General features: G+C 37.6%; 1 protein-coding gene across 2 annotated transcripts in view; it reads right to left on the reverse strand.

Moving 5' to 3' along the window:
- Positions 1-14,158, reverse strand: part of C1orf87 (chromosome 1 open reading frame 87) — an 83,377-nt gene extending 69,219 nt beyond the window's left edge. For both annotated transcript variants that reach the window (NM_152377.3, XM_017000308.2), the window contains exons 1-2: positions 14,078-14,158; positions 12,925-13,058 (exon numbers count right to left, since the gene is read on the reverse strand). In NM_152377.3, coding sequence (NP_689590.1) covers positions 12,925-13,031 — 107 coding nt within the window. In that variant the 5' untranslated portion in view covers positions 13,032-13,058; positions 14,078-14,158. The remainder of the gene's footprint in view (positions 1-12,924; positions 13,059-14,077) is intronic.
- Between the last annotated feature and the right edge of the window lie 4,995 nt (positions 14,159-19,153).

A 19,153-nucleotide genomic window follows, 5' to 3' on the forward strand; every position in this document is an offset into this window, starting at 1 on the left:
CTGGCCCCACCTCCCATGTAACTCCAACTCACCAGATCTCACATTTGATTTGGATTACACCCCTGCCGAGAACATAAAATCTCAAATGAAGGACCCAGGGGGCTCAGCAAAAGGTCACCAGATGCCATCTTAAAGGTCTGCCAGCCTTGGCAGCGACTCAATGCCACCAATTTCCAACTGTGCGCCATCTAACAGGCCCTAAACCCTCTGGAGAAGACAGCCTAGAGTGTGCCAACACAGTGAATGGGGATCTAATTTCAGTAAATGAAAGCATGTTCTTATTTGTAAGTAATAAGAGATAATCAAGACAACCAGACTTTTCTCTTTTTAAAAAGACAATAAAAAATAAAATCGGAAATGGGAGGGGAGTACAGCTGAAAAAGCTCACCAAACTCCACAGGGAAGCTGAAATGTGAAGCCTGTGCTAATGTAGCTAATGCTATTGTGTCAAAGTATGAAGGTTTTTTGTTTCTTTTTCTTTTTTTTTTTTTATGTCATGGAACCATACCATGTACTATTATCATAGAAATTTAGTCTTCGAAAAGATCAAAAAAATATGTTCATTCAACTCCTGAACCTATACTTGAATCATTTCTTTATCAATGTAATTATTTTAGCTAATATGTTCTATCTAAATGCTTATGTGTGTCAGCCACCACACATAAATTCTTTCATGTTGTGTGACTTTGGGAATATCTGATTTTCAGGTTCTCAGCTGTGAGATGAGAAAAAATAATCCTTATCAAGATAAAATGTATAAAATATTGAGCACCAAGCCTGGTGTTCCTCCACCAGACCTCGACAAATAGTAATTTTATGTTAATCATAACTTAAAGTGCTAGCTCCTTTATACACACACTCCTCATCACTCAGGTACAAAGGGATGCTTCTTTCTCTGGAATCCCAAAACTTCCTTTATTGACAGACAAAACTAAAGTTCAAAAAGTAAAGGTTTTGTAGTAGATAGGAACTCAAGAAAATCTATTTAAATAGATAAAAAGAGAGATAATTAATGCAATCTATCTGGCCACCTTGTTATTTACCAATCACAGTAAATACAAATTTTAGAAATCACCCCCCCTTTAAAAAACAAAGATTAATTAGTATTAAAAATCTATTCTGATAAAGCAATCACATTCCTTAATTGTGATTAAAAAAAAACAACCCAAACATTGTTGCATCACGATGTCCTCAGGTGGATTACACCCAAGAGCTTTACAGACAGTGCAGCTTTACCAGTCTGGAGCCAATGTTTATTGGCTAAAATGTAAATCTGGGAACCAATCTTTAATGGCTTGAAATGTAATGTCTTTTGCACTTGCATTCTCTCCTGTTTCGCTTTTGCAAGTCTAAGCAAAATGACTGTGCAACTGCCTGGCCTCTTCACCAATGATCTCTGTGCTGTAGGGCACAGTTTCTGAGCCAGGTCTTCTATCCATACTCTGAGAGGATGCAGCATAAACAGTTCTGTCTCTGCATCACGTCTGGATGCATCCACATGGTCTATGGGAACGAGGAGCAATCATTATTGCTATGTTATTTTGTTTAATCAGGTTGAACTAAATCAGGAATATATAAAAAGATGATGGATTTAAAAATACTCTATCAATATAAATTTGTTATCTCAAAATCTTAGCTGGCGAAACTAAAGGTGGCCAAATATCATTTAATCTCTTTATACAAAGCTTCCATATACACACATGAGAAGTTTTATTTTGTTTCTAAAACAAAGATTGATTGTAATCAACCTTTCTAATCTCTTAAAAAAATTTCCAATTGACAAAATAACACAGATACCTTTACAGGCCAATACTTCTATCTCTACACCAACATTTTAAATGTCTAATGGTATTTCATTATATAGATATAAGATAGCTTATTTAATTTTTCCTATATTGTTGAACATTAATTTGATTTCCAAATTTTCATTAATTTCAATGTTGCTGCTCTGCTGGAGATGTTTCTTTTGCACCTATATCCTCACCATCCTTCTCAACCCCAGGAAATTGACCTCTGTGGACTTACTCTATCAATGGTGCCCATGAGGCCAGGCATAGTGGCTCACACGTATAATCTCATACTTTGGGAGGCCTAGGTAAGAAGATCACTTGAAGCCAGGAGCTCCAGACCAGCCTGGACAACATGGCCAAACCCCATCTCTACCAAAAAAAAAAAAAAAAAAAAAAAAAATAGCTGGGCTTTGTGGTGCACACCTGTAGTTCCAGCTACTTGGGAAGCTGAGGCAGGAGGATTGCTTGAGCCCAGGAGTTCCAGGCTGCAATGAGCTACAATCCCTCCATTGTACTCCAGCCTGGGTGATGGACAGAGATCCTGTCTCTAAGAAAAGCAGTGCCTATGTCTTATGATTCTAGGTGGTTTGGGCCAATGGGTAGCCCTGGCAGGAGGAGGTTCCCTCCCTGCAAGGTTGACTCAGGCTACCTGTGTCTCTTGACCAAAGGTCACTGCTTTTCTCAAGATGGCCCGAGAGGCAGAATGCTTCCTTTATTTAGTTTCGGTAACATTCCCCTCCTCTCCTCTCTTCAGACCTAGTGCTCCTACCAACCTTGCAGCTGCTAGCCCATGATTCCTGCACCATAACTTGCAGTTCTCTTAATCTCAGCATACATCTTTGTAATTAGTCCTTTTTAACTAAAGCCATCCTTGTTTGAGTGTATAATCTGTTTCCTATTGGGACCCAGACACAACACACATTTTTGTGTAAATCTTCGAAACCAAATCATTATACCCATCCATAATCATTTCCACAGAACTGATTCATAGATACAGATCTTATGCCAAAGTACATATACTTTTAAGGCTTTCAATAAGTATACTTTAAAAAACACAGTATCATATGAGTATTTTCTCTAAACACCTGCCAGCACTGGGTATCTCCATTATAAAACATTCCTAATTTGATTTGTAAAAAATAATGTCTCATTACTGTTTACATTTCTTTTATTATCCTGCAGGTTGAATATACCCCCACATATCTGTTGTTCCTTTTTATTTCTTCTATTTCCTGTCTAGGTCTATTGCCAATTATTGAAATGAGGCTGTTCATCTTTTTCCCATTGATTTGGAAAAGCCTTTATGCATTTAGGAGTTAATTATTTTTCTGTCACATATGTTGTAAACAGTATTTTGTTTTTGACTTTGACTTTGTATTATATTTTTTAAACTATATAGAATTCAAATGGCAAAAATAACTGTTACCTCATAGTCTCAATATTTGGGATCAACGGACACTTATAAGTTTTCTAAAACATCTATTTAATATTTGCTTTCATAATGCCCTGTATTCTTATTTGCAGACTTATGACCAGAACAACAGTATATTATGCTTCTTTATACTTCTCACAGTGCCTAAAACAAACACAAAAACAAACAAAAACAAACAAAAATTATTCCAGGATATTAATACAGAAGCAGTTTAATGCAGTGGAAAGGGCTTAATAGAAGTATGATTTTAGCATACTACTTTATTATTTTGAACTTGTAAAAATGAAGATAAGTATCTTCTGTGATGTTATTGTTCAGTTTTAATGAGAGATTGAGTTCATAGATATTCAGCTATTGTGTAGATTGTATAGTGAGAAAAGTAGTAAACAAAGATAAGGCTTATTGATCAGTTGTTTCTAAAAAATAATAAATGGGATACTTGAATTTTTCAATCACAAAATTTATCCATACTTTATGTATGGACTATAATTGTTCAGTGCTTCCATCTCCTGCCTGGATTATCATAATAACTCTCCAAATGTTTTCTCTCTTTTTATTTGTGTCACTCCCAAGTTACTCACCACTTAACAGACAGAAGCAGCCTTTAGAAAACATAAATACAATGTGAGCAGCACTGCTCTCAATTTTCCAATGGTTTCCCATTCTACATGGAACAAAATCCAAAGTTTCTACTATGGCCCTACTGGCTTCTCTGACCTTATTTCCTGCTCCTCTCCCCATTCCCCACCGTGCTCCACAAAAAATGGCTTTCCTGCTCTTTCTTAAGCATACCAAGAGGCTTTGTTCTGACTATTCTGTCTCCTTAGAATGCTCTTTCATCAGATATTTACATGATTTACTTTCTCTGTAGGTCTGTGGAGTCACTAGGATGGAGGCGAGTACCTGTGGTATCACTTGGTGCAAGCTGGACCTCAGTGGCAGAAAAGCAGCAGGTATATGGGTTCCCTGATCCTGAGCACTGTGCTCCTGGTGAGGGATGGTGTTCTGATTTTTATGAGTGTGATGGCCAGTACTGAGTGTCAACTCGATAGGATTGACGGATGCAAATTATTGATCCTGGGTGTGTCTGTGAGGGTGTTGCCAAAGGAGGTTAACATTTGAGTCAGTGGGCTGGGAAAGGCAGACCCACCCTCAATCTGGGTGGCACCATCTAATCAGCTGCCAGTGCAGATAGAATATAGAGCAGGCAGAAAAATGTGAAAAGGCTAGACTGGCCTAGCCTCCCAGCCTACATCTTTCTCCTGTGCTGGATGCTTCCTGACCTCCAACATTGAACTCCAAGTTGTTCAGTTTTGGGACTCAGACTGGCTCTCCTTGTTCTTCACCTTGTGATGGCCTATTGTGGAACTTTGTGATTGTGTGAGTTAATACTTAATAAACTCCCCTTTATATATGATATATATATTTTATATATCATATATAAATTATATATTATATATATATTTTATATATAATATATAAATTATATATTATATATACTATATATGTAATATATGTAATATATAATATATATATACACACACAATATCACAACAAAGTGATTCACATACTTTTTTTGGTTTCATGGTGCACATAAAAGTTATGTTTACACTATACTGTAGTCTATTATGTGTGCAATAGCATTGTCTAAAAGAATGCACATACCTTAATTAAAAATACTTTATTGCTAAAATATGCTAATAATCATTATATATATTTTATATATATAAAACTAATAGGATATATATCATATATAATATATATATGTCCTATATATAAAATATATCATATATATAAATATATATGATATATTTTATATATTAAATATATAATTATATATAAATATATATTTATATATAAATATATTATTTCAATATATATAAATATATTTAAATATATTTAAATAGAATATTAAATATATAAATATATAATTATATTTAATATATAAATATATATTAAATATATAATTATATTTAATATATATAAATATATATTAAATATATAATTATATATTTATATATTTATTATATATAAATATATATTTGTTCTAAATAAATATATATTCTAAATATATAATATTTTATATTATATAATATATAATATAAAATATATAATAAATATATAATATATAAATAAATAAATATTTATTATAAAATACATATAAATATTAAATATATATTAAATATATATATTTAATATATATATTTAATAATATATAAAATATATATTATTTATATATATCTTATTTGTTCTGCCCCCTAGAGAACCCTGACTAATACAATGAGGCAAGCATGAGGCAACCTTATACAAAAAGAAAAAAAAATTACCTGGGCTCCAGGCAGTCAACTTAAGTGCCATCGGTTTGTAACAGTAAATGAGAATGTCAGATGCCCAATATTGGGCAAACTTGAGACCTGTGAATAGTTGCAGCCTCTTTTTCTTGAGCAGGGGAGGGAAGAAGATACTATTAGCTTCATGGAGAGTTTAAATCTGGTAGAGCCATACGCACACGGAGGAAGGCTGGGCTAGTCTTAGCTCACTGGTAGCTAACCTGGGATAATTCTCATTGCATAATTCTAGCTGCTTATCTCTGCACTGTCTCAGTTCAAATGTCTCCTGCTCAGAGACAGCTTCTGGGACCCTTTAAGAGCTGATAGACCCTTATGTTCCTTTATTTTTCCTTATTGCACTATCCCTGCATGAACAATCATTGTTTATCTGTCTATTATGTGTTTCCCATCACTAGAACTTCAGGTACACTTCTGTGTCTCCATGGCTTGGCACTCAGTAGGTGCTCAGTTAATATTTGTGAAAAAGAAGTTGATGGAATTCCATATATACATTAATTTCTAAAACCATTAACTTTAACACTTAAAGGAGTTTAAGACAAGTCACAAAGAATTTATTAATATAAATGGTTTTGGAGGATTCAAAAATGACAGAATATGGGCTTTAGGAGAGTCACATGGGAAAATACCAGAACTTTGCATATCTTGGGTATAAATATCAATGCAAATTACAGGTATACCTCAGTGATTTGTGGTTTAGTTCCAGAGAGCTGCAATAAAGCAAATATCACAATAAAGTGATTCACATATTTTTTTTGGTTTCATGGTGCACATAAAAGTTATATTTACACTATACTGTAGTCTCTAATGTGTGCAATACAATAGTCTAAAAAACAATGCACATACCTTAATTAAAAATACTTTGTTGTTAAAATATGCTAATAATCATCTGTGAGCCTTTAGCAAGTCCTCATCTTTTTGATAGTGGAGGGGCTTGCCTCGATGATACCTGCTGACTAATGAGGTTGGTAGTTGCTGTAGGTTGCAGTGGTTGTGCAATTTCTTAAGACAGCAATAAAGTTTGCTGCATCTATTGACTCATCATTTTACAAAAGATTTCTCTGTAACATATGATGCTGTTTGATAGTATTTTACCCACAGGGAAACTTCTTTCACAATTGGAATCAATCCTCTCAATTACTGCCACAGCTTTATCAACTAAGTTTATATGATATTCTAAATCCTTTGTTGTCAATTCAACAATGTTCACAGCATCTTCACCAGGAGAATTGATTCTATCTCAAAAAACCACTTTCTTTGCTCATCTATAAGAAGCAACTCCTCATCTATTTGAGTTTTATCATGAGATTGCAGAAATTCAGTCACATCTTCAGGCTTCACTTCTAATTCTAGTTCTCTTATTATTTTCACCACACCTGCAGTGATTCCTCCACTGAAGTCTTGGAACCCTCAAAGTCATCCATGAGGGTTGGAATCAACTTATTCCAAACTCTTGTTAATGTTGCTATTTTGACATCCTCCCATGAATCACAAATGTTCTTTTTTTTTTTAAATTTAAGTTCTGGGATACATGTGCAGAATGTGCAGGTTTGTTATATAGGTATACACATGCCATGGTGGTTTGCTGCACCCATCAACCTGTCACCTACATTAGGTATTTCTTCTAATGTTAACCCTCCCCTTCCCCCAACCCCCCACTGACAAGCCCTGGTGTGTGATGTTCCTCTCCCTGTGTCCATGTGTTTTCATTGTTCACCTCCCACTTATAAGTGAGAACATGTGGTGTTTGGTTTTCTCTTCCTGTGTTAGTTTGCTGAGAATGATGGTTTCCAGCTTCATCCATGTCCCTGCAAAGGACATGAACTCATCCCTTTTAATGACTGCATAATATTTCATGGTGTATATGTGCCACATTTTCTTTATCCAGTCTACTATTAATTGGCATTTGAGTTGGTTCCAAGTCTTGCTATTGTGAACAGTGCTGCAATAAACATACGTGTGCATGTGTCTTTATAGTAGAATGATTTATAATCCTTTGGAATGGGATTGCTGGGTCAAATGGTATTTCTGGTTCTAAATCCTTGAGGAATCACCACACTGTCTTCCACAATGGTTGAACTAATTTACACTCCCACCAACAGTGTAAAAGCGTTCCTATTTCTCTACATCTTCACCAGCATCTGTTGTTTCCTGACATTTCAATGATTGCCATTCTAACTGGTGTGATATAGTATCTCATTCCTGACATTTCAATGATTGCCATTCTAACTGGTGTGATATAGTATCTCATTACGGTTTTGATTTGCATTCCTCTAATGACCAGAGATGGTGAGCTTTTTTTCATATGTTTGTTGGCCACATAAATGTCTTCTTTTGAGAAGTGTCTGTTCATATCTTTTGCCCACTTTTTGATGGGGTTTTTTTTTTTTTTTTTTTTTTGGTAAATTTATTTAAGTCCCTTGTAGACTCTGGACATTAGCCCTTTGTCAGATGGATAGATCGCAAAAATTTTCTCCCTTTCTGTAGGTTGCCTGTTCACTCTGATGATAGTTTCGTTTGCTGTGCAGAAGTTCTTTAATTTAATTATATCCCATTTGTCAATTTTGGCTTTTGTTGTAATTGCTTTTGGTAGTTTAGTCATGAAGTCTTTGCCTATGCCTCTGTTCTGAAGGGTATTGCCTAGGTTTTCTTCCAGGGTTTTTTTGGTTTTATGTTTTACATTTAAGTCTTTAATCCATCTTGAGTTAATTTTTGTATAAGGTATAAGGAAGGGGCCCAGTTTCTGTTTTCAGCACATGGCTAGCCAGTTTTCCCAGCACCATCTATTAAATAGGAAATCTTTTCCTCATTGCTTGTTTTTGTCAGGTTTGTTGAAGATTGGATGGTTGTAGATGTGTGGTGTTATTTCTGAGGCCTCTGTTCTGGTCAATGGATATTTCATAATGCCCTCTACTGCCCCCACCTTTAGCATGCCAGGGCGCCTCCTAAAATGTGGCATCCAGAATGAAGTGTGCAGTACTCCACTGAGTTCTGTGTAGAGTGAGCCTCCACATCTCTCTGTCTGAATACCCTTGACTCATGCTAAGCTCAAACACAGGCAATACCCAAACATTTATTCCATATAACCATTTCCATGTACACTTCTCCAAAGATAGCCTTTGCATATATTTCTGTTTATTTAATCTTGTTGGTTTTAGCTTATTTCCCTGCCAAGGCTTGTCAGCTTTCTGCTAACTATGGGTTTACAAAAACAATTTGTCTATCTTCCTTTGACTGTGTATTAAAAACTGTTGAATAAGAGCAGGGTCACACACACAAATCCTCCCCACCTCCAGCAAGTTGTGATTATATCAATTGTTCCATCACCACTTTGTTGGTGTATCACCTATCTCAACACCATCCAGTCTAGAGTTCTCTGCCTTGTTTCATGCCTTTGTGAAAAAGTTGTGCCCAATGACTCACCAAAATCAACACATACTGTCTTTATCATTCTCTTCATTTGGGCTGCAGTAATCTTGTCAATGATGAGAATGGAACAGTTTGGCATAATCTATTTTTAGTCAATGCATACTTACTCTTGGTGTTTTATTTTCACAACTAATATATTTAATTCTTTGGCCTACAGTTTTGGCAGGGATTGTCCACAAGCCTCTGACTCTGTGATATTATTACTAGCTCCTATCTCCTTTTTGAAAATGAGAATATTTGTCTCCTGTCACGTGGCATGTTACTCATCAGGATTGCATAGTAACATCTGGATGTTATTTTAACAGCATGGGCCTTTAGATTTGGATTTATTTAAAGCAACTAAGTATTATCTTTCTAGATTTTTATTTTTCTTGGCAGCCATGTCACTCTAATTTATTTAATAGGCTTTTACCATGTACAATATTTTATCCTCTGTGCTGGGGATATAGTTGTGCATATATAATTTACAGTAAATTGGGGAGACAGAAATGCATAGGAAGTTGTAAGCATGTACTATTCCTTACGGGTGTTACAGGAGCCCCCAGGTGGGGCAGGCAAATGTGGGTCTGGTGGTGGCAGCACGTCATTAAATTTTTATTTTAGAAAGATCACCCTGGCCATACTGGAGAATGGGGCTTCTCAAACTGGAATGTGTGGAGGAGTCACCTGAAAATTCAGGTTTAAAGTAAGATTCTTAATATATCAGGAAGGGAGCTGAGGTTCTGTTTCTAACAAGTTCCCAGCTAAGACTGATGCTGGAGATCCATGGACTACACATTCAGGAGCAAAACTGCAGAGAGTCAAGTAGAGTGTGTGAAGATTAGAGACAGGGAACTATGTTGGAAGGCGGTTATAGTGACCTAGGAGGAAGATGATGATGGCACAAATAAGGGGAAACCTGTTTCACTCCTTGAAGCCTACACATTAGTCTCTTTTGCTCTTTTGTGAAATATATGTATACTAAATATAAGTATTTTTCTTTGATCTGTGAGCAGTTACACAGGTTAACTTAAGGAAAGAGGGAAGGAGAGCTCCATTCCAGTCTTAGATCTTAATAACAAACCTGGAACTTCAGGGGCTTGCTTTAAGACCACTGAGGCCTTAGTTATCTCACCTCATCTGTAAAATGGGAGTCTGGTTGTTATGGGTTGAACTGTGGCCCTGCCAAGATTCCTGTGGTGATATTCTAACCCCCATACCTCAGTATATGACCTTATTTGGAAATAGGGTTATTACAGATGTAATGAGCTGAGATTAGGTCATATTGGATTAGGGTGGGCCCCTAATGTAATTGACTGATGTCTTTATAAAAAGGGGCAATTTGGACACAGATGCAGATGCAGGGAGAAAGCCATGTGAAGCTTGGAGATATGCTGCCACAAGCCAAGGAACTGCGAGAACAAGGGGAGGCCTAGAACACATAGGTCTTTCCCTGGCACCTTCATAGGGATCACAGCTCTATGGACAATTTGACTTCAGACCTCTGGCCTCTAGAACTTGAGACCATGAACTTCTGTTGTTCTAAGCCACCCAGTTTGTGGTACACTATTACAGCAGCCCTAGCAAGCTAATATAGTGGGCTGCATCTAAAAGGCTACCTTCAAGTCTGTCATACCATCCCATCATCAACACATGTCTTGCAGGAAATCTGAGCTAAATGTGGTTATACAGAAGATTTCTCTTTTTCTATCCATTATTGATCCATGATTTTCTTTTAATTCAAATTTTCATTTTGGAGAAGCCTTTATTTTTTGATGTTTACTTATGCTTCTTAAGTGGATTTTTATTAATGGATTCAACTTATTCAATCCAAAGGAAACAGCATTTTGAGGCCCTGGTTTATGAGTATAAACACTTTTGGGAAGACAGATTCTGCAGCATGAATGACATGATAGTGGCGGCACTTTCCTTACCTGAGCAACAAGAAGCATTTAAGAATTATTTATTTTTAAACATAGAAGAATATTTTAGCAATGCACATCAATTATCCTATGTCATCCCAGCAACAGTAACATGAAGTCTATAGGAAACACAACAAACAAGCAAAATATCCATCTTACTACCTAAAAAAATACCAATTGTTGTACTATAATAGGAGAGATAGAACTGCATATTTTATTTTACAATTAATTTAGCTGATTTAATGTACTCTTTTATTTCTTGGTTCCTGAAGGTTAGAAAACAAAATGGGGAAAGGCACCTTCCTATAAGATAAAGCTAACTTTTCACTATTTTAAAAATTAAATACTACTCCTTGCTTTCTGTTTAAAAACATATTAAGCTCCCTACCCTTGGAAAAAGCAAGGAGTTTGGGAGAGAATAAGGCTAAACAAATAACCTAAATAAGGAATGGAATAGTAATAATATAGTTTTCCAGGTAGGAGATCTGAGCCAGGTGTCCAAACTAATTCTATTTACTTTTCTTGACAGTGACAGGGATTTGACATATCTCAAAATAATCGCTTACCATATCACAGTGTCTTAGTTTCCTCATCTACAAAACAGACATAAACTGTGTCCTAGGCATAGAATATAAAAGGGACATCAAACATTTCAGAGAAAGAGGTTCGATTTTTTGTTACATTTTTTATATCTATAGAAAGACTTCTATAATAATAGCAGGATTATTTACTAAGCATGTTATTTATAATAGACACTGGAAAGGTGCTTTGCATACTTTTTCTCATTTAATCCTCACAATAACCCTATTACTAGATAGGTGTTGTTTTATCCCCACTTCATATATGTAGAATCTAAGGCCAAAGATGTTAATTCATTTTCCCAATGTCAAAAAGGCAAGAAAGAATCAGACCTAAGATTCAATTTCACACCTCTCAGCACTGTAGGGATCCCAAATGTATGAATCACGTGCTGCAAACCTCAGTTCCTGTGCAGTGGCAGACATTACTAACTGATTATAGCAGTCACTTTGGAATCCCTCTAGACCTTACAATACTGATAGTAGGGAAGTAGAACTAATGTGCCTTTCTAAAGCCTTATTAAAGCCTGTACTTCATAACAGCAGTCTTGGTGACCTACATTCAGAGATTTTGATTCAGCAGACCTTGAGCTGGTTCCTGAATCTGTATTTTTGAGGTCTCTCCCAGTGATTCTGATGACAGCTAGGTTTAGCAAAAATTTCTTCTTGCACCTATGTTCAACAATACCATATCTTTGTATATTTGTTCAGTCTATGAGTTTCTGAAATAGAAGATAGAGCTAAGGAAATAATCTTAGGAAGGAAAAGTAATTTTTGACTAGCTATTACTTATGGAACGCCTACTATATGAAAGACAGATCTAGTACCTTCCCTCCTTTTTTGAGCCACTGAAACTCTGTAAGAAAGAGCTAGTCATACTGTTCTGTGCTGAAACATCTGGTGAATATTAGAAATACAGGAGTGTCATCTCTTAAATGTGACTCTGATGGGTTTGGAATAGAAGAAAGAGATCTTAGCCATGATCTGAGAAGCCCAAGCTTAGAGGAGTATCAAATACAAACAGGAGTAAGTGAAAACCTTACAATTTATGATTCTGTATTAATCCTACTCCTGTAATTCACAACAAATTGACTATTAAACCTCCCCCACTCTCCCCAAAATTAGTACATGTGGTAGATTACAAGCCCGATGAGAAAAGGCAGCAGTGCTCCATTAATATTTATAAATGTCGCAATGCTCATATTTCCCATCTATTTGGAAAATCAGCCCAAGTAATTAAGGAGTATGGGGAATTATAAAGATGAAAAATATCAGGAAAACAGTGCACATGGAAGTTATCAACACGATTTTACCTCTACTGTTGCATCTTAATGACTTCGTTTTCCATGGATGGCATTTTTTAAGTTTAAATTTCTGGGTGAAAACAAAACAATAAAACTTCATTATCATCCAAGCAACATAGATATTTTTCAAATATGGACTTACATCTTTGGCTTCTCCACGAGGTATTGAAAGTGTTTACTTCCAATGATTTTCACCATGATCTCAGGCATTGCATCTGATCCACGGGGAGTCTTCCAGGCTGAAGACATGATTCCTTTCAAAATCCCTTCAGATCCCTAGGGGTGAAAATAAGTAAATTGTTCCTCTTGATTTTCCATTAGGGAACTGCATCATCCTTGCCAATAACAACAAGCAATAATAATAGCAGGACAAAGTGTTTCACCTATATTACCTCACTTAACACTCCTAACAAAGGCATGAGAAAGATATTTTTAACTACTATTATCATTTTTGTTTTACTGTTGAGGAAACAAGCAAAATGTAGCTATATGACTTACTCACATCACATCACATCACCAGTAATTAGCCGACTTGGGAATCTCACCTAAGAGGTCTGTACAGCAGATCTACTGAATCATTAGGTGACTCTACCTTCCTGTACTACAAGACATAGGATGGAATTCCAGTGAGGTCAGAGCAGAAACAAGGGCATTAGTGGGACATATGAAGAATCCATATTCAGTTCTGATGTTTAGTTTCCCCATTTATGAGATCAGGGTAATTCTAGGTCTGTTCTCAGGGACTTGAGGGTGAATCCAAGGAGATAATGCATCTGAAGGGAGACTGTACACAAGACAGACAGACTTTTGTTGTTATCACTGATCTCTTTCTACAACAATACAATGAATCTGAAATTGAACTCCTGCACAAGGTGTTTAAACAGAGTGATGCCAAGGGAAAATCAGAAGTTCAGTAAATCTGGCCACAGCTGAACACTCCCTTTTAGAACCACCCAGAGGCTGAAAGGCCTTTAGAAATCATTCTACTCCAAAGGCTCCTTCACAGATTGGAAAACTAAGGCCCAGAGAGGGTGTGTTATTTGACAAGGGTCACAGAGGAATGAAGGACGGGACTGTTTCCAGTACTTGGGTCTGATGTCTAGGCCAGGGTTCTTCCCAAAAGTCCAATACTAAAGACCTGTGCTAGGGCAGCCCCTCATCCCGGGGACCTGCAGCCTCTTTGCACCTGTCTGGAATCTTCCAGACCCGGAACTCGTGATCCTCAAATCCCCTCCCTGCCCAGCAGCTGCGTGTCGGCCCTGATTGCCCGGAGAGAACAGAGTCGGGGGGCTTACCGCTAGGGCAGCGTCCCCACCCTGGCAGCTCAGAGGTGCGCGGTCCGTGCTTCTCCCCAGGAAGCTGACACTCTCAGACCCGGGGACGGGACGGGGCGTGGGGACCGAGCCCAGGAATCCGGCCAATCACAGGGCCCGCATCGCGGGCGGCGCCTGTTCCGCCCTGGTCGCTAAGGACGCTGAAGGCTGTTTCTGGGCGGGGACCAGGTTTTTCTCCACTGCCTAGGCAATGGACCCAGGCTCTGGCTGCCAACGGGTGAAGAGCCTAGGTGTTTTTGATCTGTGCCTTCTCTGTTCCTCAGAGATATGCGGGCGTCCTTCTAGAAGCCCATCTCGCTCACCTGTGTGGTCACCCTTGTCCCGCCCTTCCTCCGAAGGCTTCATTTCCCTTTGTGAGTTTGCACATAGTTGAGATTCCAACACAGTAGGTTCAAATCCAGACGTCTCCACTGTATGGCTTGAGTAAATCCCTTCTTTTCCCTGAGATTGTTTCCTCATCTGTGAAACGGGGCAAAATAATAACACTGTCCTAACTGCGATTTGGTGACTAAATTAAATAAGAATATCGGCCGGGCTCAGTGGTTCACCCCTGTAATCCCAGCACTTTGTTAGGCCGAGGTGGGCAGATCACGAGGTCAGGAGATTGAGACCATCCTGGCTAACATGGTGAAACCCCGTCTCTACTAAAAATACAAAAAATTAGCCGGTCGTGGTGGTGCGCGCCTGTAATCCCAGCTACTCAGGAGGCTGAGGCAGGAGAATTGCTTGAACTTGGGAGGTGGACCTTGCAGTGAGCCAGGATGGTACTACTGCACTCCAGCCTGGGCAACAGAGCGAGACTCCATATCAAACAAACAAAGAAACAAAAAAACCAGAATATTATAGATTGATAATAATAACGTTGAGTACTGTCTCTATGCCAGATCCCTATGACAAGCTGGATAACTCTCACCTCACAAGTTAATAGTTATAAACAAAATAGTTTTACTTTATTTTAAAGAGAAAAGAAACAAGTTGGGGTATTGATAAACTACTCCAAATCCTGCAAAAGCAAGTACAGAGCTAAGATTAGAATATAGATCTGCATATCCTACATTTCCAGACAGTTGTTATTATGCTAAAAGAAACTTCAGCTGATGCAGGCAAAGACACTTTAGATTGATTCCCAAACGGTATTGTTATTTGCATCAACATAGGCAGCAGCAGCTCCAGCATCTGTTCCCCTGTCTCCTAACCTCTAGCTGTACTGTGCTTTACAGGTGAATATATCACCCACTGGCACATGCAGCCAGAGGTGGACAGCACACTCAGCTCCCCTCCAGGGGCTCACTCTCTAGAGGGTGAGACACACAGCCACATTCTATGATATAGAAAGTGTTAAGGGAGCAGAGAAGCGGGGACAGCTCCCTTCTCACTCCTCCCTCCTAGCCTTCACGTTGCTTCCAGATCAGTCTTCCCAAGGCCCAACTCTGACAAGCCCCCTCCTCTACTCAAATGTCTGAAAGATCTCATCAGCCACAGCAGGTGTCTGTGGTTTCAAGACCTTCCACTATCTGACTTCAAGCTAGATCTCTAGCTTGATCTCCCACTACTTCTCCTAGGCTTGTTATGCTGCATCCAACCCAGTCTACTCACTGGCTTGAATCTCCCTTTCATATCTCTGCCTCAGTGCCTTTGTTCACTTTGTTTCCTCTGCCTATAATGCCCTTCCATTTCTCACTGTGTCAGCCTGCCTATCCATTCTTTAAGTTGGATCTCAAATGATATGTGAACTTGGGAATCAGACACTTTGAGTTCAAATCCTTGCCCTGCTAGTTCAGTGTAATCTTGGGCAAATCACTTAACATCTTTGTGCTTTAGTTTCCTCTTCTATACAATGAGGATGACTTTTTGTGAAGTTTAAGCGAGTTATATAAGAAAGGAACTTAGAAGAATGCCTGACACATAACGAACAATATAAATGTTTGCTCTTATTTTGGAAGAAGCCAAACTGGATTCCAGAGCTGAAAGTGGCTTCTTCATCTTATCTATAACTTGTGGTTTCTCTCTTAGGAAATATGTGTGTCTTTGTCTGAGAGTGTGGTATTTATTTGCTTTGTTTGTCCGGGCTTCTCGTGCTATGCTGTAGAGGGCTGAATAATGCCCCTCCCTCAAGATGTCCACCTTTTAATCCCCAGAACTTGTGAATATTACCTTCCATGGCAAAAAGAACTTTACGGATGTGATTAGGTGAAGGAACTTGAGAGGAGAAGATTATCTAAATTTTTCAGATGAGCCCTAAATGTAATCACGAGTGTCTTTATAGGAGGGAGGTGAGAGAGATTTGATGACAGAAGAGGAAGTAAATGTGACAATGGAGGCAAGAGGGTACAGGGATTTGGGGAAGGGATCATGAGCCAATGAATGCAGACGGCCTCTGGAAGCTAGAAAAGGCAAGGAAACTGATTCTACTCAAGACCCCCAGAAGGAATCTATTCTGCTGACCCCTTGGCTTTAGCCCAGTGAGACTGATTTTGGATTTCTAACCTTCAAAAATGTAAGACAATACATTTGTGTGTGGTAATTTATTATATTATCCATGGGAAAATTTAACGTCATGCTATTGAAGGACTCTTCTTTTCTTTTTCTTCTCTGTGTTTGTTAAATATCCAGAACAGTGTCTAGATTATAGTGTGCTCTACAAAATTTTTTGACCAAATGAATGAAGGAGAATAGAACCAAAATTAAGTATTAAAATTTCTCTCTAAAAAATACTATAATGAAAATGGTACAGGTGGGAGTTTTGTCTACCTAAAACGCTTGCCTATTCTTTCTTTCTGTGAAATGAATGCTTTCTTTGGGAATCTCTTTTCCTATTTCAAGGAGTCCTTGTGGGCATTTTCAATCAAAGTGCTGCTTGATTATACTCTATGTCTTAAGAAGGCCAGAGTTCTTATCAATGACCAATGCACCTGACCCTTGAACAATACAGAGGTTAGGGGTGATGACTCCTCATGCAGCTGAAAATTTGCGTGTAACTTTAGACTCCCCCAAAACTTAACTGCTTATAGTCTGCTGTTGACTGGAATCCTTACTGATAACATCATAAATTAACACATATTTTGTATGTTATATGTATTATATAATGTATTCTTATAATAAAGTAAGCTAGAGAAAAGAAAATCTTATTAAGAAAATCATAAGGAAGAGAAAATGTATTTACTAAGTGAAAGTTATCATCATAAAGGTCTTTATCCTCAACATCTTCACATGGAGTACGCTGAAGAGGAGGAGGAAGAGGAGGTATTGATCTTGCTGTCTTGGAGGTAGTAGAGCTGGAAGAAAATCTGCCTATAAGTGCACCTGCACAGTTAAAACCTGTGTTGTTCAAGGATCATTTGTACACACATGTAGGAGGAAAAAAGTTTATATCTGTTAAGATTACTAGACTGTGAGGATAAGGTGTTGATATCTGTATCAACACATACTGCAATTTTTCAGAGAGGAGGAAGAACTCAGCCAACAGAGAAAAGCAGAGCTGAAAATGGAGCCAGTGTGGGGAAGGAGAGGAAAGCAAAAAGCCTGGATCCAGCTATGCCTGAAATTAGAGATTCCAGAACTCTCAAACACACGAGTAATAAACATCCCTTTTGTTTATAATATTTTGAGATGACTGTCATTAATCTTTACCCAAAGAGACCTAACATAGAGACTCTTAAACTTCAGGTTATTAAATTTTATCTATAGGATACAGTTAATTGATTGGATGGCATTTTGAGTTTTCCTATAAATTCTGTGATAAAGCTTGAAGGAGCAAATCGGTTTCGATCAAATTAGTTATTCTACTAAAGACTATCCTTTGACCTTATCTTGACTCCGTAGGTTTTACAAATGCCAACTTGAAATATAGTGGCATTGGTGAGAGGCTTTCTATTGGGCAGCTCTTCTACCAGTTTGATGGTATTCAGGTGAAATCTGATCTATTTTTCAGACCCGAGGGAACTTCTGCTAAGTGACCTCGAAGAAGTAATTTAACTCTTTTATCTGTAAGGTGGAGAAAATAATAATTACCCTCTAAGGTTGTTATCAGGATTAGAGATAATGTACCTGGAGGCCCCTGACATGCAACAGGCTTATAATAAATTATATTCTTGTTTATAACAATAGCAGCTAATATTTAGTGAATATTTAGTATGTGCCAGACACTGAGTTAAGAGCTTTTCATTCAACATTCCATTTCATCTTCATAACAACCTTATGAAAAAAGACTATTAATATTCTCATATCAGAGATTAGGAACCTGAGGCTTAGAGAAGATAAAGAACTTGCAGAAGGGAATGTAGCTAGGAAAAGTCTGAAGCACAATAAAATATCCAGGTGTGCCTGATTCTGGAAGTAGCCTCTATAGCCCCTCCAGCCCCTCCTCCTTACTTCCTCTGTGGATGTTAGTTAGCCATTGTTACTACAAATATGTATTAATGATAATATTTTTATTGTTGCTGTTTTAAGGCTCTTCATTCCTTACAGAATGCAGATTCTGTGACAGAATTCCTAAGGAGTGGTCTTTTCTTAGCTGCTATTTTCTACTTTACACTCAGCTTTATGAAATGACACAACCACGAAACATCTCTCCAGTGGTTTATATTAAACAAGGCAAAACAAAAAGCTGTGCAATAAATGTCTCCATAAGATTAAATACTGTGGTTAAAACTGCCTTCCTTGAATTCAACAGCTTTAGATTACGAGTCACCAGAGAAAGATTCCAAAGAAACATCTCCATCCGAGTCAGCACTCTCTCCTTTCTTCCCAAAGAAAGACGAATAGCTGTAATAAGGGGACCAAAGAATGCCCCCTCCTAAAACTTCAGGATTTTACATTTACCATCAAACAGAGTAAGGAAGAGGAAAAAAAATGGTCTCCAATGTTTTGTTTTTGCCCTTGTAAGTCAAAGTATAATGAGTTTATAAACAGGAAGCAAAAAAGAACTGCTCTTTTGAACAGTCTAATCATAGATCTATAAAAATGAGGCATTTTGCAGTGAAGTCTCTTGTCCAAATAGAGGAGAGGCAAATACTGATGTTAAACTGAGATGTATTA

Source organism: Homo sapiens, chromosome 1, assembly GCF_000001405.40.
Source record: "Homo sapiens chromosome 1, GRCh38.p14 Primary Assembly".
NCBI classification, from domain to species: domain Eukaryota; kingdom Metazoa; phylum Chordata; class Mammalia; order Primates; family Hominidae; genus Homo; species Homo sapiens.